Source organism: Homo sapiens, chromosome 6, assembly GCF_000001405.40.
Source record: "Homo sapiens chromosome 6, GRCh38.p14 Primary Assembly".
In the NCBI taxonomy this organism is placed as follows: Eukaryota; Metazoa; Chordata; class Mammalia; order Primates; family Hominidae; genus Homo; species Homo sapiens.
The window spans coordinates 129941099-129956965 of NC_000006.12; the positions used below are offsets into that span (position 1 = coordinate 129941099).

At 36.7% G+C, this 15867-nt stretch overlaps 1 long non-coding RNA gene across 1 annotated transcript in view, besides 1 other annotated feature; it reads left to right on the plus strand.

Moving 5' to 3' along the window:
- Nucleotides 1-6810, plus strand: part of LOC105377999 (uncharacterized) — a 92281-nt gene extending 85471 nt beyond the window's left edge. The window contains exon 8 of the long non-coding RNA XR_942986.3: nucleotides 6296-6810. This is a non-coding gene — a long non-coding RNA (uncharacterized LOC105377999). The remainder of the gene's footprint in view (nucleotides 1-6295) is intronic.
- Nucleotides 5622-6148: an enhancer, noted in NCBI's record as "OCT4-NANOG-H3K27ac hESC enhancer chr6:130267865-130268391 (GRCh37/hg19 assembly coordinates)". NCBI's record gives its function as "activates a minimal SCP1, AML or CMV promoter by ChIP-STARR-seq in naive H9 embryonic stem cells {active_cell/tissue: H9 hESC(naive)}" and the evidence as "EXISTENCE:reporter gene assay evidence [ECO:0000049][PMID:30033119]".
- Nucleotides 6811-15867: the final 9057 nt, after the last annotated feature.

Here is a 15867-nt window from a genome sequence, read left to right on the forward strand (position 1 = left end):
CATTGAGCATGGTTTAAATGTTTATAGGTCTGTATTACTTTCATAAACTGAAAATAAAAATCTCTCATAATTTGATAGAATTGGGTTAACTGCTAAGAAAATAACAGTGCTTTATTTTAAAAAAAAGCTTCAAAATAGTAATCATAGTTTAAGAATATTGTTGACGTGAGAGAGACATGTCAGAAATTTAATTGAGCCTTACTATGCAGTCCAGATTTAAGACCAAGGGATCATACAGGTGGACCAAATAGTCACCTTCTCAGTGTCTTTAAGGCATAGATGAGAAAACTTGAGGTGTTTCACTGAAGATGCAGGTGAACTCTCAGACATGAGCAGATGTATTGCTTGGAATGACTGATGGCCTTTTCTGAGATGAGTGAGTGTAGTAAGCTGATTTCATGACTGTGCTTCTGCCAAAGGCTCCAGCCTAGTTCTCCTCTCATCTCTAAGCCCCTTCCCTCTTAGACTACCACTCTATCCGTGAAGGTAAAAATAATAGGTTGAGTTTTTCTCAAAAGCAGGGCAAAGGAGTTCATTTTCCCCTTACCTAGCAATACAAATTGTTAAAAGAAAAAGAATAAACTGGAATAAGGCTGTATTCAAATGTCTCATCAAAATGTCCCTGCCTTGGGAAATGCTTTGCCAAAGTGACCATTTCCAAGTCTCTGAAGTCAAAACAGCTGCATCTTAGTGGCTGCCTCAAAATCGTGGTATGAAAATGACTGTCAAAACAGCCCCATCAAAATGTCATGTACTTGGAGCCCATGTGAGATGCTCTGTAGACATCTCTGGGCATAATGGGACAGGAATCTCATAATGGGTTCCCCTTTGTATCCACAGTCCCTTGAAGCTTCGAAATACCCGTATTAAAATGATCACACCACGAAATAATCTGTACAGCCAACTCCCACGACACATCTTTATCTATGTAACAAGCCTGCACATCCTGCATCTGTGCCCCTGAACTTAATAGTTAAAAATAATAATAATAAAATAAAATTATCCCACCAACTAAGCATCAGGGAAAAAGTAAGCAGAAGCTTTTACAGGAGGAAAACTCCAGGAGGAGAAAGCTTCCTGTGGGAAGGGACATGGCCTGGGGATTGGAGAGATGGGGGTGCCTTGGAGAAGGGGCAACAGGGAGGAAGAAGGTATTCCAGGCAGAAAGGACAATGAACACAGAGACAGGAATGAGAAACTGAATGGGACGATGGCCACAACATACAGGTATTTCAGGTTGCTCACTATCCAACCTTTACTGAGCACCTACTGTATGCTTTAGCATGTTGTCCCCATCATTTTGGAGAGGACATAGTCAATCTAGTACATGGTACAATCTTTTTTCCTTCCACTCAGCAACAGCAAAATACATCTGGCTCCCGAAACAGTATGGTTTTCCCTCAGATATTTTTCTAAATCACATTGATTTGAATTAAATAGTTCAGAAAAATGATTTTTTCTCTTTGTTTTTTGAAATCACTTTAATCAGAATTAAATACAGAGAAACGATTTGGTTTCTTCTGAAACACACAGTTACACTGCAAATATAAACATACAAAAAACTGCTGACCACTTAAGTATTAAACATTCACTTGGTATGCTACAGCTTTTGGAAAATAAAATACCAATAATTACTCAATTTTAATAATAATACTTTGCATTCTATAGAATCAAAAAGTGTGCTGAAATATTTGAAATACTATGTCAATCTTCTTTAAAAATGAATCTTAAATATGGATTAAGTACAGATTATTTTCCAGTAACATTACTATTAACCTGAATGTTCCCATGGTAACAAGACATCTAACAGAATATAAAACAGATAACTTTCAATATTTAAATCATAACTCATAAATAAAAACATGTCTGTAGTTGTGTGAAAGTTACACATTAATTCCATTGATAAGGGATGCAGAAATCTCCTTAGAAATCATATTTTTTAAATTTTGCATTAATTTTTTATAACCAATTTCTGATTATAAAAGTAAAAATGCTTTCTGTAAAATAAATTGTAAAAAATAGCAAAAGAATAATTAAGCCTGAGATGAGAACCACTAATCTTTGTTTTAATCATTTTTGTATGTTGTTTTATTTATAAGTTTTAAAAACAAAATTTGGTTCAGAGTATCAATTTAGTTTTGTTGCCTTCATTTGTTACTTCTTCCCATATCAGTTATTTTTAAAATTTGCTTTATAGATGGTAGATTCATGATAGTCTCTACAATGTAACCATATACTTCCTGCTTCAGTCATTTTTGTTTTTTAGTCTTGTCCACAATAAATCTAATACTTGGAGTTGCGAAGTCATACTCCATGCCCTCAAAAAATAATGACTAAAATGGTGTTAAATTTCTTTATGTCCATTTTTTTTTTACTGATTTTATCAGGTGATCTCTATAAGCATTCAAAATTGACTAAGGATGTTTTAGACTAATTAGCCCTCACTACACATTTCCTATGTCTAAAATACAGTAATTGAGAAATGTTGTAGGAACACAACCAACCTAAACAACCTAACTTGTGAAAGAGAATTTAGGGAGAGAAAATGCCTTACACGAGGACTTCTTTGTTATTAAATACATCTGATTTCCATAATTTTAACTTTGAAACAGTGTCAAATACCAGACACACACAGATTATAACTGTCCTATCATGGTCCATTTAATAGCACAGGGACCGTAAAATCTGACAGACCCAATTTACTGGAATGTAACCTCATGGTCAGCCAGGGAAATGCTGACTTTGCCTTTTGGTTGCAACTAGCAGCAAGGAAGATAAATTTACACTAAGTTGAAGAAGGCCTCCATCCATTAGGAGAAACGCAGCTGGGGACCAGGAACTGTGGGAACTAGGAATGGAAAGATTTGGGAAAATGGGAAGTCCTTTTTTTCCCCCAGAAGTCTCATGTCAGCCGCTCTCTATCCCTTGATGTGTGGTTGTTCCTCTGCCTAGAGAGCGCCTTCTCTGCTCCTGGGTCCATAGGGCAAGGGAAGATGGCTGCCCACAGGTCTGGGACTCACGGGAAGATTCACGCCCTGTACATCCAGGAATGGATTCTCCCTCGCTCCCGTTCACGAGGTAATTGTCTCAGCTTGACTCAGGTGCCCAATTTTGTGCCCATCGGCTGTGACCAGGGAGCAGAGTCACCTTGTAAAAGCCTCAGTGCTCTGATTTCCCACTGATTATTGAAGGCAGGAGATGGTATGACGCTCCTGATTTTTTCTGCTGTCATCATGTGGCTGAACCGTAGGTTCTGAATTCATACAAAGTATGATTTTCCTTTTACTATTTTTTAATTTTTGAGAATTGTATTAATAGTAGCTGAATAAATTTTCCTTGTATCTTGTGTATAAACTTCCAGACCAAATTTTTCTTTGGGGGATCTTAGTGTAGGTGTTGTTCTGCAATTTGTTTTTGTTTTGATGCTTAAAATGTCATACATATTAGAGTTACATACTTTTAATGAATTAATTTTTAGATGTATACAAGTAATACATGAATGCATTTTTATTGTTAAAATCTAGGAATACAGATCATATGGATGAAAAAGTCAAAGTTCTCTTTCACACACCTGGACTATCATTTTTTACCTTATTAGGACTGTGGTTTATATATATTGCTCTGGAACTTGAATTAATGTATAAATATATACTCGTTATTTAACAATACATAGCTTTAAAACAGTACTTAAAATACATGTCCAGAGGAAAAAACAAAATCCTCTTTCAACATCCTCCTTCTACAAGAATTCAACTTACTTTCCCCAAATTGCTATTAACAGTTTGATGTGTATTCTGGATTTTTTTTCTACGTATTTAAATACACACATCCATGTAAAAATATACAGTTGGGGATTTTTTAACATAATTGGGATCACAGTGTAGAGATTAAATAGAACTCTGTTTATTAGAAATTTACAGATCTGTGTTGAAGATGGTTTCATGTCAGTATCTGTAGACAACTTATAAAGTTCTGCAAAGCATTCCATATCATAGATGTTTCATAATTTAACTATTCCTTCATTGGTCGATATTTATCATTTCCATTTTTCACTATTAAAAATATCGTGATGATGAAACTATTTGTATATATTTCTTCATAGCCATATGAGGATATTTTTCTACATCAAAGAAACAAAAATATTACAAAAGGATACTCCAGAAAAGGCTGTAAACATTTCATTTCTGCCAATAGTGTATGAAAGTGCACATTTCCACACAACTTTGCCAGTCTTGGGTATCAGCAATCCTTTTTAATTTTTGCCAGTCTAAAGAGTTAAAAATATATAGCTGAACTTTCTTTTGTTATAATTTGTGTTTCCTGATAATTAGTGAGAATGGGCATTTCTTTATATATTCGTTGGTCATGTATATTTTTTCTTCTTTGAATTGCCTACTGATATATTAATATGTTCTTTTTTTCTCTTGAAGTTTTTACTCTATTTTTAAAAAATCAATTTGTAGGAATAATTTGTTGATCTGTCATATATTTTGCAAATATTTCCCAGTTTTAACTTTGTTCATGGTGTTTCATCATATGAAGTTTTAATTGTTTAAGCAGTCAACACTATTAGTCTTTTTCCTTATGGTTTCTAGATGTTCTGTAATGTTTACAAAGTTTTTTACCACACCAATTTTATAATGTATTGTCTAATTTGTAAATAAGTTGATATATTTTCTAAATGTCCAGCTTTTAAAACTATCTAGAATTATTTGTGTATGTTCGTATTGTAAATTGGAAGCTATTTTACTCTAAATAGCCAATTGTCTTATTTATGTAAATGACTAATATTTACCCAGCAATTTGAAAATCTACCTTTCTTATAAATTAAATTCTCATATATAATTGATCTGCTTCCAGATCTTATTTTCTACTTATCTATCACTACTCTTATGACAGTGCTATACTGTTTCAGCTATCTTAACTTGATATATGTTTTAATATGTGGTTTTTCTTTTTTTTTTTTCACTTTTCCTGAAGTTCTCACATGTTTTTCTTCTGGATGAGTTTAAATATCTTCCAGTGAAGTTCCACAGGGTGTCTTTTGTGGATGTCTTTCCAATTTCCTTCCAGTTTCCTATAGGAAAAATTCCCACATGTTGGAAAACTCACCTGTAAAACCATCTGGGACTGGTGCCTTTCTGAGATTGATCTTTGGCTATCTTCCAGGCTCTTTGGTAGTTATTGATCTATTCAGGTTTTCTATTTCTGCTTCATTCAAACACAATCATTTGTATTTTTTAGAAATCCTTCCCTTTTATCTAGATTTTCAAATTTTTTATATAAAATAGTCTTCCTTACTCATTTCTTATGCTGGTAATTTTCTCTTTTCACATTTTTTGTTGTTGTTCTTTTACTTTTTTCTTAATTGGACATGACAAAGATTAGTTGACCTTATCCATGTGGATAAGGTCTCCTCTGAACTGTGTTGCTTTGCTTCCCCAAGTAGTCCCTTCTCCAAAGCAAGACCTAATTGTGTGCTATATAAAGTCGGCAGGGCATTCTGACCGCCAAGTTCCATTCTGAGCAGGAAGAAGTCAGGCAGGCTGGTGACCTCCCCTGTCCAGTTACCAAAATCGAGAGGGCTTTAATCTGGGGTGTAGCCCATTGGCATTATTGATCATATGTTTCCTTTTTTTTTCCCCTCTGTATCTGTGGTGGAGTTCCAGGGGAGTCATCCCCAGCTCTGCTCAGCTTCTCCAGGGCAGGATAATTCTCTGAGGGGACCTCGGCCTCCCATGGCAGATTATTCACCCTCCAGAGAGGGTTTTTCTGATTTTATCCAGGGGCAAACACTGCTAATCCCCGCCACTCAGCTTAAGTGGAAAGGGAGAAAGGAATAAGGTGCCCAACTGGCCTAGCTATTTCAAGAATGTGTTGACTCTGAGCTCGGATAATCACTGAAATTCCTTCAACACTGTAAAATTTTCTCTTACCCGTGTTTTAGCCTGAGGTTTTCTCTAACCTCGTTTCTTCGTCAACCTGATTTCATTTGGTTTCTATTTATCTTCCCAGCAAATTTCATTTTCTGGGCATTCTTTCTCATTTTCTAGCACTGATATAGATTTACTCTTGAGAAACAAATAAATAAAAGCATTTCTGCCATTTCCTTAAGGGTTTGCAAGTGAGAAAGGGTGTATACATGTGCACTCTTCCACAACTTTTAGTCTGTCTTTTAAGAGTTTGTTTACACCGAACTAAAGAGGATAGTCCAAATAAGTTATGATCAAAATAAAGACTGAATTAGGAACCCTTGTTGTGTTCTCATTTCACTGTGTACTTCCTTTCTTAACAGTTAAACCTGTGTAATTGTTAAGTCGCGGTGACAACAAGGACTGCATCCGTCTCGTGTGTCATTTGTATCCCTCGTGCACAACGTTGCCTCAAACAAACTAAGCATTCCATAAATACTGGTTAAATGGAGAAGTGGATCGATTATTTCATGCACAAACCAAAAATGGAGAAAATCACTAACACGATCTCTGGAGGGTTTGGTGCAAGTTTAGCTAGTGACAGGACCAGAGCCAGGACCCATGTGACTCCTCCTCGGGTGCTCTTTCCACTGACTTTCTTGGGCTATTTGCTTTATTAATGCCTTTCTTCCAATCATCACTTAAACAAAGACAAGTGAAAAGAAGTCTGACTTTAGCTGACAATGGCAGAAATCATCACTCTGCTGAATAACTAACATAAACATCAACTTCCTACATTAGCACTTCAGGACATCAGCTCAAATAGCTCCATCCCTTCTTTCCCTGCTATTGTGTCCCTTATTAGAATAATAAACTGAAGCTCATATCTCCTCTCTGATTATGTTGTAAACTTTATTAGCATTTCTGGCCTTTAATGCCTTTGCAAAGGAAAAGATGGTGGTTAGACTCTGTGTGGGTGTGTGGGTGGGTGAGTGTGGGTATGAGAGGGTGGGTGTATAGAGCTCATTTGTTTGTTGTTTTAAAAATTTAACATCTGAGTTAGGGAGAATAATGAATTGGTAAGCCACTGGTTTCCTAGAATAAGACTGTTTCTTTCCAGAGAAGAGTAAACTGGCCCTTTTCGATTTTGTTCTAGCAACACAGTAACCATGGATCTGTGAACCTAATAGCTAAATTGTGGTAATCACAGAACACCTTTCTAAAATACACTTTGATATAATCCATTTGTCCACCAACAGCTTACCACAGGTAAATAGATGTTATTTTTCTTGCCAGTGATTATGCTGCTTATATGTCTAATGTGAACGATGGGCTGGACATAGCAAAAATATTTTTGTTTGCTTTTATTGTAATTTTTGTTTTCTTACTTTCTGGTAAACTCTGGACATAGTTTTTTTGTTAGGAGTTTGTGCTTTAATTTTTTTCTTCTACAGATTAACATGAAGGTGATTATTACCATAGAATTATTTACCAAAACACTTATTATAATATAGATAAGGCCCTACTGAGCTTGTTCCTGAAAAGGCTTATGTTATGAATAAAATGTTAATTGTTATATACAGTCATTTCTATGGAATCTGGGATGTTTTCAGGTTGTAGGTCCCGATAAAATTAAATATATCTACCTTATATTAAGTAAATAGTTACCAATAAAATTTTTAAATTGGCATTCACCAGTTTCTATTTAGAATGGTTTGTACATGAAAAAAAAATGATCAACTATTTTAAAAGATAGGATATGCAATTTCAGTTTAGCCAGAAAATACTTCTATAGAAAACAGGGCAACCTGCCACAGTGTCTCAGATTGGGCTTGTCAGAATAGCATCGTATCATGAAATCATGGAATGCTACAGATTGAAATTACTTTGAAGATCTTTTAGTCTGCTTTTATATGTACAGTGGTGTGAATTTGCTCCATGACCCTTGAACATAAGAAAAAATAATGTTTCTTAACTTTTCTGAGTCAAATCAAATCTTGCTAGGCCCTCACCTCTTAGGATTGTTGAAAATCTGTTCTTCCTCATTTGGAAAGGTGGGCCTTTCCTTGAGCCCTGTAAAAACCCAGGGTCATACACAGTGTAGAGAACTCTGGGAGTGATCTTCTGGCCTGCTATCAAGGTCCCTGGGATGTTTAATTTGTCACTTCAGCTAGGCTATGGTGTCCAGTTGTTCAGCCAAGCACCAGTGTAGATATTGCTGGGAAGATATTTTTTAGATATTAGCATTTATCAGTAGACTGAATATAACAAATTGCTCCTCAGAATATAGGGAGGCCTCATCTAATTGAAGGCCTTAATTGCAAAAGCTGAGACTTCCCAAAGAAGCAATTCTGCCTCAAGACTGCAACATAGAAATTCCGCCTGAGTTTCCAGCCTTCAGGTTGCAGACTCAAGATTGCAATACCAACTCTTCCATAAATTTCCAGGCAGTGGGCCTGCTCTCCAAATTTCAAACTTACCAGCCCCCTACAATCATGTGAGCTAATTCCTTAAAATAAATCTCTCTGCTTTGGTTCTGCTTCTCTGGGGAACCCTGATTAATACATTCCCTTTTGAGCTCTTCACTGGCCACGTGTTGCATTCAAAGTTGGACCACTCTGCTGCTCTCAACATCCTCACCCTCTTTGGTAAGTCCTTGCCCCTGTGATGCTTGCTTTGGTCGTCAAAGCAGCAGCCCTTAAGGTTCAGTCCCAGGACTCCACATGCTGCCTCGCCAGAGGTCCTGCTCCATCCTGAGGCCATGTGATGGCAGAGTTCTAATTTGTGTCACTTTGGGGTCTCACTACTTTTCTACCTTCTCAGGCTCTGAGAATCCAGCTCTTCCCCAAGGTTGAGTCATGCCCCAACCAACACCTTCATATCCAAGCATTAGAATCTATCCTTTTCCACCGACCTCAACTCTGACACCTTAGGCAGAACCAACTACCTCTCAACAAAGACCTGAGTGAGGATATATTCAAGAAGGATTTTAAAATACACACAAAGCTGTTTCTTTCTCTTTGGGCAACAAACCCAGAACACAAAAGCTTGACATTATGTACTAGGAAATTTACTCTTTTATTCCTTTGATTATTCTATATCAGTAAGAACAGACACGAACTAATTTTCGTTAAACTATCTTGCTTTGAATGTAAGGAGCCAAGACCCAGAAAAGTTAAGTGGCTTCCTCAAGTTTCCCAGAACACTCCTTTAAGATGAATAAGATGCTATCTGATGCCCTATCCCTCCCACTTCCCACTCCTTCACCTTACATCTGGCTATAAGCGACTGCATGTTTCTGCAAGTTCATGGAGGAACCAGTGTTGAAACTGCTTTGCTACTTCGGTTTGAAATGGCAGGTTGGAAATTGATGCATCACAGTTTCTGGGGCTGTTGGCTGCCAGAGCCTCCCCATATTATTCAGCCACAGGCTTTGGAGGGAAGAGGGACCCTTCTGAAATATGCAACTTAGTGCAAGCTTGAAATTCAGTGGGCGCCACTTGGCATTCATGATTAGAAAGTTCTAAAAAGCATTACATGAAGTATAACTGCTTTATCCCTCCTTTTGATAAGTAATCCTCTCTGTTTTTGTTTTTGTTTTTTAGTTTACCAGCTCAGTAGAGGAATGATGCAAAATGGGGCTTTGGGCTGCGGCATTATAACTTGGGTTCTTCCTATCGATCTCACAGGCTCATTATGTAAGCTTATTTCTTCTGCTGATACAGGAGCAAAAAAGGCTGACTTGTGACATTTTTGCAGTTGCACTCAGTTGTCTAAATATACTCAGACATTCAACAGTACATGAGTAGCCAGCCATTTGGTTTTGCAGCCAAGAAGGCTGTGGCTGAGGATTGCCTGAGAAAATATCTGCTTTTGATCAAAATAAAATTCAAACCGTAAACCAATATATATATTTCATTGCCTATAATAATCTTTGTCCCTTAGGGTCATAATAAAACTGTCAGCTTTATGTGTCACTGGATCTCACTCACTTCTCCCTTTCCCTCACTTTTGCTCTCATTATTCACCTACTTTGTAGCTAATGATTTCTAAATTCTGGTTGGTTTTTTTAGAGATCTGCTTTCTGTAGAGGTTGTCGTATGATGTCCTTGAATTTTTTTATGTTTAATTCTAAGAGAGTGGCATAAGTTCATCAGGCATGAGGACATAGAGTGTGAAATCAGAATATGTCCCCTTGTCATGGCACCATGAAATACATCTGCCAGGAGCAGAAGTCTCAAGATTTCCCCAAAATCTACTTCTGCCAGATTAGCACCTGTGACCACTGCCTTGTGGCCACACATTGCAAGTATTATAAAAAGCACATTGTACAAAATTAAAACAAAGCTCAAATCCTAGCTCTACTGATTGCAGTCTGTTTATAAGTAGTGTGTAAGTTACTTTTCCTCTATGCCTCAGTTGCCTCATGCATAAAATTGGAGATTTAAAACAAAAAATTTACATCACAGAGTTGCTAAGAGGCTTTGGTGAATTAGTGCATGTAAAGCCTGCAGAATGGTACTTGGCACATTGTAAGCACTGAATTAGGGTTACAGCAGTCCCTGCTTATTTAGGGGGAAATGTTCCAGGACCCTTAATTGATGCCAAAACTGTGGATAACACTGAACTCTATGTATCCTGTGGTTTTTACTGTTCATACCTATGATAAGTTTTAATTTATAAATTAGGCACAGTAAGACATTAACAACAATAACTAATGATAAAATAAAACAATTATAACAATATCTTGTTGACATGGTTTTTCTGTGTCCCCACCCAAATCTCATCTTGAATTGTAGCTCCCATAATTCCCACACATTGTGGGAAGGACCAGTGGGAGGTAATTGAAACATAGGGGTGGGTCTTTCCCATGCTGTTCTTGTGATAGTGAATACGTCTCAAGAGATCTGATGGTTTTATAAAGGGGAGTTCTCCTGCACAAGCTCTATTGCCTGCTGCCATATAAGACATGCCTTTGCTCTTCCTTTGCCTTTCACCGTAATTGTGAGGCCTCCCCAGCCACGTGGAACTGCGAGTCAATTAAACCTCTTTTGTTTATGAATTACCCAGTCTCCGGTATGTCTTTATGAGCAGCATGAGAACAGACTAATACAACTGTAATTAAAGTCACATGAATGTGGTCTCTCTCTCTCTATCTCAAAATCTCTTATTGTACTGTACTCACCTATTTTCGGACCATGGTTGACCTTGGGTGACTGAAACCATGGAAAGAGAAACTGTGTATAAGCAAAGACTATTGTAGTTATTATTAACCAGATTTTTGAGAGACTTTTGTTCTGTTTTACTGAAGACTAAAATAGAGTTTACAAGAAAAAAAGTGTATGTATTATATTTGGCTCTGTTATGAACACTGATCTAGAACATAGTAATATTCCTTTGGTTTCCTTTGGATAAAAGCTGTATGCTTATTCTAAAAAAGTCTTTGCTTTCAGGCAGGAGTATTTGAGATTCACCCTCAACAAGTGGTTTTTGAGATCACTGTAGCTTCAAAAATTCTTCAGATGATTGTCTAGATTCACAACCATTTCCTTATGGTTTGGAAAGAAAACAGAGAGGAGATAAAAGTAATAAGCTTGGCTTAAGATGTAGAAGGTTTAAATTCTAGGCTTTCTTTGGCTGCGTAAAAGAAAGTCTCTGAGATTTAGTTTCCTCATCTGAAAATTGAAGGTGTCCCTGCAAAGAAGCTATTTAGGAAACAATTCTGTTGGAGCACTAATTTATAACATACAATTTTAAGTTCTAGATATTTAAAGAGTTAAATGTGAGAGTAAAACTATTTAAGTATTAATATAAAGCATAGATGAATATCTGATATGGCATAAGAAAGGTCTTTCTGTTTAGGGCAATGAATACACAATTCAAAACAATATGTTTACATAAATACATGAATGCATGAAGTGTGTGTGTGTGTGTGTGTGTGTGTGTAAAGCTTACCTCTCGTGGGGGAGTGGAGAGTAATGTGATCAAGGAGGGGTCCTTGGCGACATCAACTCTAATGTTAGTTTTTTAATTTCTTACATCGCAAGAAACATCTGAAAAGGGAAAATCGAGTTATCAAAATTTTTAAAATAACTTCTATAAATAAAAAACTTAAAATATAAAGGCAAATACTACAATAGCATTTTTAACAATGTAGCAGGGAAATATATATACTATATAAACAATTCTTAAAAACTAATAAGAAGGATGAAAATACCATTATAAAAATAAATAAAAGAATACAAAGCCAATCACAGTGTGTGGACCTGATATGGATCTTGATTCCAAGAAACAAACTGCAAAAAAAAAATTAGAAGTATAAGACAACTGGAAATTTTAACACGATATCTGCTGAAAACAAGAATTATTGCTAATCTTTTCAAGTATGATCATGGTACTGTAGATGTGTTTAAAAGCATCCTTAATTTTTAAAGATACATTCGCAGTCATTTACAGATGAAATGGTATGATATCTGGGTTCTGCTTCCACATAATACAGGGGTGGGGTTGGTGGATTAGAGGTAAAACTAAAGGAAGATTGTCCATGAGTTGATAATTGTTAAATATGTATGATGGGCTCGATATTCTGTCAACTTTTGTGTAGTGTTCAAAATCTTCCATAACAGAAGGAAAACAAAAAGCGTAATACTGTGTAGGATGATGAATAAACAATTCAATATGTTTACATAGATACATGAATGCATGAAGTGTGTTCTCTGTGTGTGTGCGTGTGTGTGTGTGTGTGTGTGTGTGTGTGTAAAGCCTACCTGCCAAGGGGGAGAGGAGAGGAATGTGATCAAGGAGGGGTCCTTAGGGACATCAACTCTACTGCTAATTTTTTTATTTCTTATGTTGGGCAAAACATAAAGTGGTGGTTGTTATATTATTTTTTATTTTATTTTGTGCATCTTTGTTATTCCTTTATATGAAAAGATATTTTTAAACTATTCTGTCTCCAATTTTTTTTCAAAAATAGAAAAACATGTTTGTTTCTGTTTTTTTGTTTGTTTGTTTGTTTGTTTGTTTTGGAGACAGAATCTCATGCTGTCACCCAGGCTGGAGTGCAATGGTGCGATCTCAGCTCACTGCAACCTCAGCCTCCCGGGTTCAAGTTATTCTCATGCCTCAGCCTCCCAAGTAGCTGGGATTATAGTCATGTGCCACCAGGCCCAGCTAACTTTTTTGTACTTTTAGTAGAGACAGGGTTTCACCATGTTGGCCAGGCAGGTCTCGAACTCCTGACCTCGAGGTATCAGCCTGCCTTGACCTCCCAAAGTGCTGGGATTACAGGCATAAGCCACTGTGCCCAGCCTAAAAACATGTTTTTTAATAAAAGAAAAAAATAAAGCTAACCATTAGCTATTAGGAATTTTAGCTAAAAGGAATACAAATTTAGATAAGATTCCATGTTGTTTTTTTTCCCAGCAGATTGGAAACGATTAAAACATTATAATAATCAGTGCTGGCTAAGGCATAGTGAATTAGATATCCTTACACACTGCTGGAAATAAAAATTATTTTCTAACATTCTGGAAGGCAACCTGATGTACAAAGCAAAGTAATTCCATTCCTAGGTAGTTATTCCATAGAAATAACCAGAGAGAATCACAAGATTTATATTCAAGTTTGTTCATTGCAATTCTGTTTTACAGGAAAATTGGAAACTTCAGTGTCTAACACTAGAATGTAGTTAATACATGTATGATGGTATGTTCATAAAACAGAATTCTGTGTTGGAATTAAAGAGTCATGTTTCTAATGACATGGAAAATATGCTTGACATATTATTAAATTTCAAAAAGCAAGATAAAGACTGTGCGTATAGCATGATTCCATCTTTGTAAACAATAAACAGCATCTGAGCGTGAGTGTGGTGGCAGGGCTGTCTCAGTTTGAAATTGTGTGCTGCCTTCTGAGATGTAAGCAAGTCTGGGCAGGCCTAAATAACTGGTAGGTGGCCTTCCGGGCTTTTCTCAGTTTGCTTGGGGGAATGAAGGAACCTCCTAGAAAATAACTCATTCTAAGCAAAAAGGGAGTTGTAGAAAACAGTGTGACTGTAAGACTAGGCCCTGGGATGAGAGACTACCCTAATTCTAGTCCAGGGGTGTCTGAATCCTGCATCTGCCTGGGCTCAACCTCTGGGATCTAGGATAGGAGCTGGTCTTGGGAGACAGAGGACGGTATGCAAAGGCAGGAAGAGCTGCTTAAACCAAAAGCCTTGCAACACATCAGAGCACCACCGTGTTTTGGTGTGCCACAGCGGAATGTAACACAGATGTGAAGGAGGGCTTTCTTTGCTGCCTTTCTGTTGGCCTGTGCCCAGCTTGGAACCTTGAACGCTTCAGTGTGTGAGGGCCATTCTTGATTGTAAAAAGCAGCCAGGGGCCTGCCATGTGGGATCCGCCTGGGCTAGTGCCTGGGCACCTGTACATTACTCTCTAGAAACCACAGAAACATGTTGGGAGCAGGGCAAGATTTTCCAGGGGACTAAGGTCCTGCATTTTTACAAGCCAGTAAAACAGAGGTGACACTATCGAAGTGACCCTGTGTTTAACTCCAGATGGGATGACTTGAAGAAACTCACATTACACATATATGTATATATGTCCAGAAAATGACCAAAGAAAATAAATCAGAATGTTATTTGTTCTTATTATAGGTGATTTTAGTTTTTCTCATTTCTGTGTGGGTTGTGATGGTATCAGTTTAAGATTAAATATCTCTACCACTGAGATCCAGATATGACGGAGCATTCCTGAAAACCTTCTGGTGAGTGTTCTATGATCACTATGGTGAAAGCCCCAGGTTTCTGGCTCACTGAAGGCCTGAGGATTACTCTAAGATATTTTACTCTGAAGAAAAAGAAAGCAGATTTGATGTTTATTACTACTGTTATTAGGAAAATATTGAATATGCTATCTCCATTCCCTTTTAGGTCAAATATTCTATATTATTTTATAATTCTGTGAAAATGTTTATAGGTCCATAATTAAATATCTTAGACTCATCTAGGAATATGAATGTATAATAAATAACTCCTGTTGTACAGGTTGCGTTTGGCTCACAAAATTCTCTTTATCTCCTAGTAGAATTCACTAAAATAGTCACGGAGACCATTGATTTAAGTACATTCTTAGGGGCTGGGTGTGGTGATTCAGACCCATTATCCCAGGGATTTAGGAGGCCAAGTAAGAAGGTATGCTGCCCAGGAGTTTGAGGCTGTAGTGAGCTATGATCACACCACTGCACTCCAGCCTGGGTGACAGAGTGAGACCCTGACTCTAAAAACTAAATAAATAATAATAAGTAAAATATTAACATAAGAGATCCAACAGCTAGAAATATCTATAACAATAAAAAACAATAAAATAATTTACTTAAATTGTTTCTATTTCTGCCAGTCTTTTCAATCCCTCACATATCTGGAAGTGGCTCTGTCTTTATTTTAGCTATTAGTGTATTAAACTGTTTTGGATTTCTCAGTGAAGCTGAAATATGAAAATGATGCTTTTGCATATATCAGGGAACCATGTCTGACACAACAGCAGTTTCATGTGATATAAGATAAATGCATTAAGGTTTCAAGGGGAGGAGAAGGGAAAGATGGATCTTCTGAGTTACAAAATTTGACAAAGACAATTTGAATGGGATACTAATAACTTGTATTTTAAAGCTGTCAAAGTCCTGCATTTACTATATATAAAGTACTCACAGTCTTTGTCTAGAAGAGTACCACATTAAGAATATTGTTTTTAGTTAAGATTTTGAGCTTTTAGAATATCTGTTGATTATGGAAGAACCAGCCTTTTGATTAAGATTATTCCTACATTGTTCCCATATTTTTCCATCAGCATTCATAGTTCGTTATTAATATGGTGATCATGTTTGTTTGGGTGAATGGCCTTTATCATATTTCAGTAATTTCCTTTGTTTTCTACTTTACATTTAGCATTAA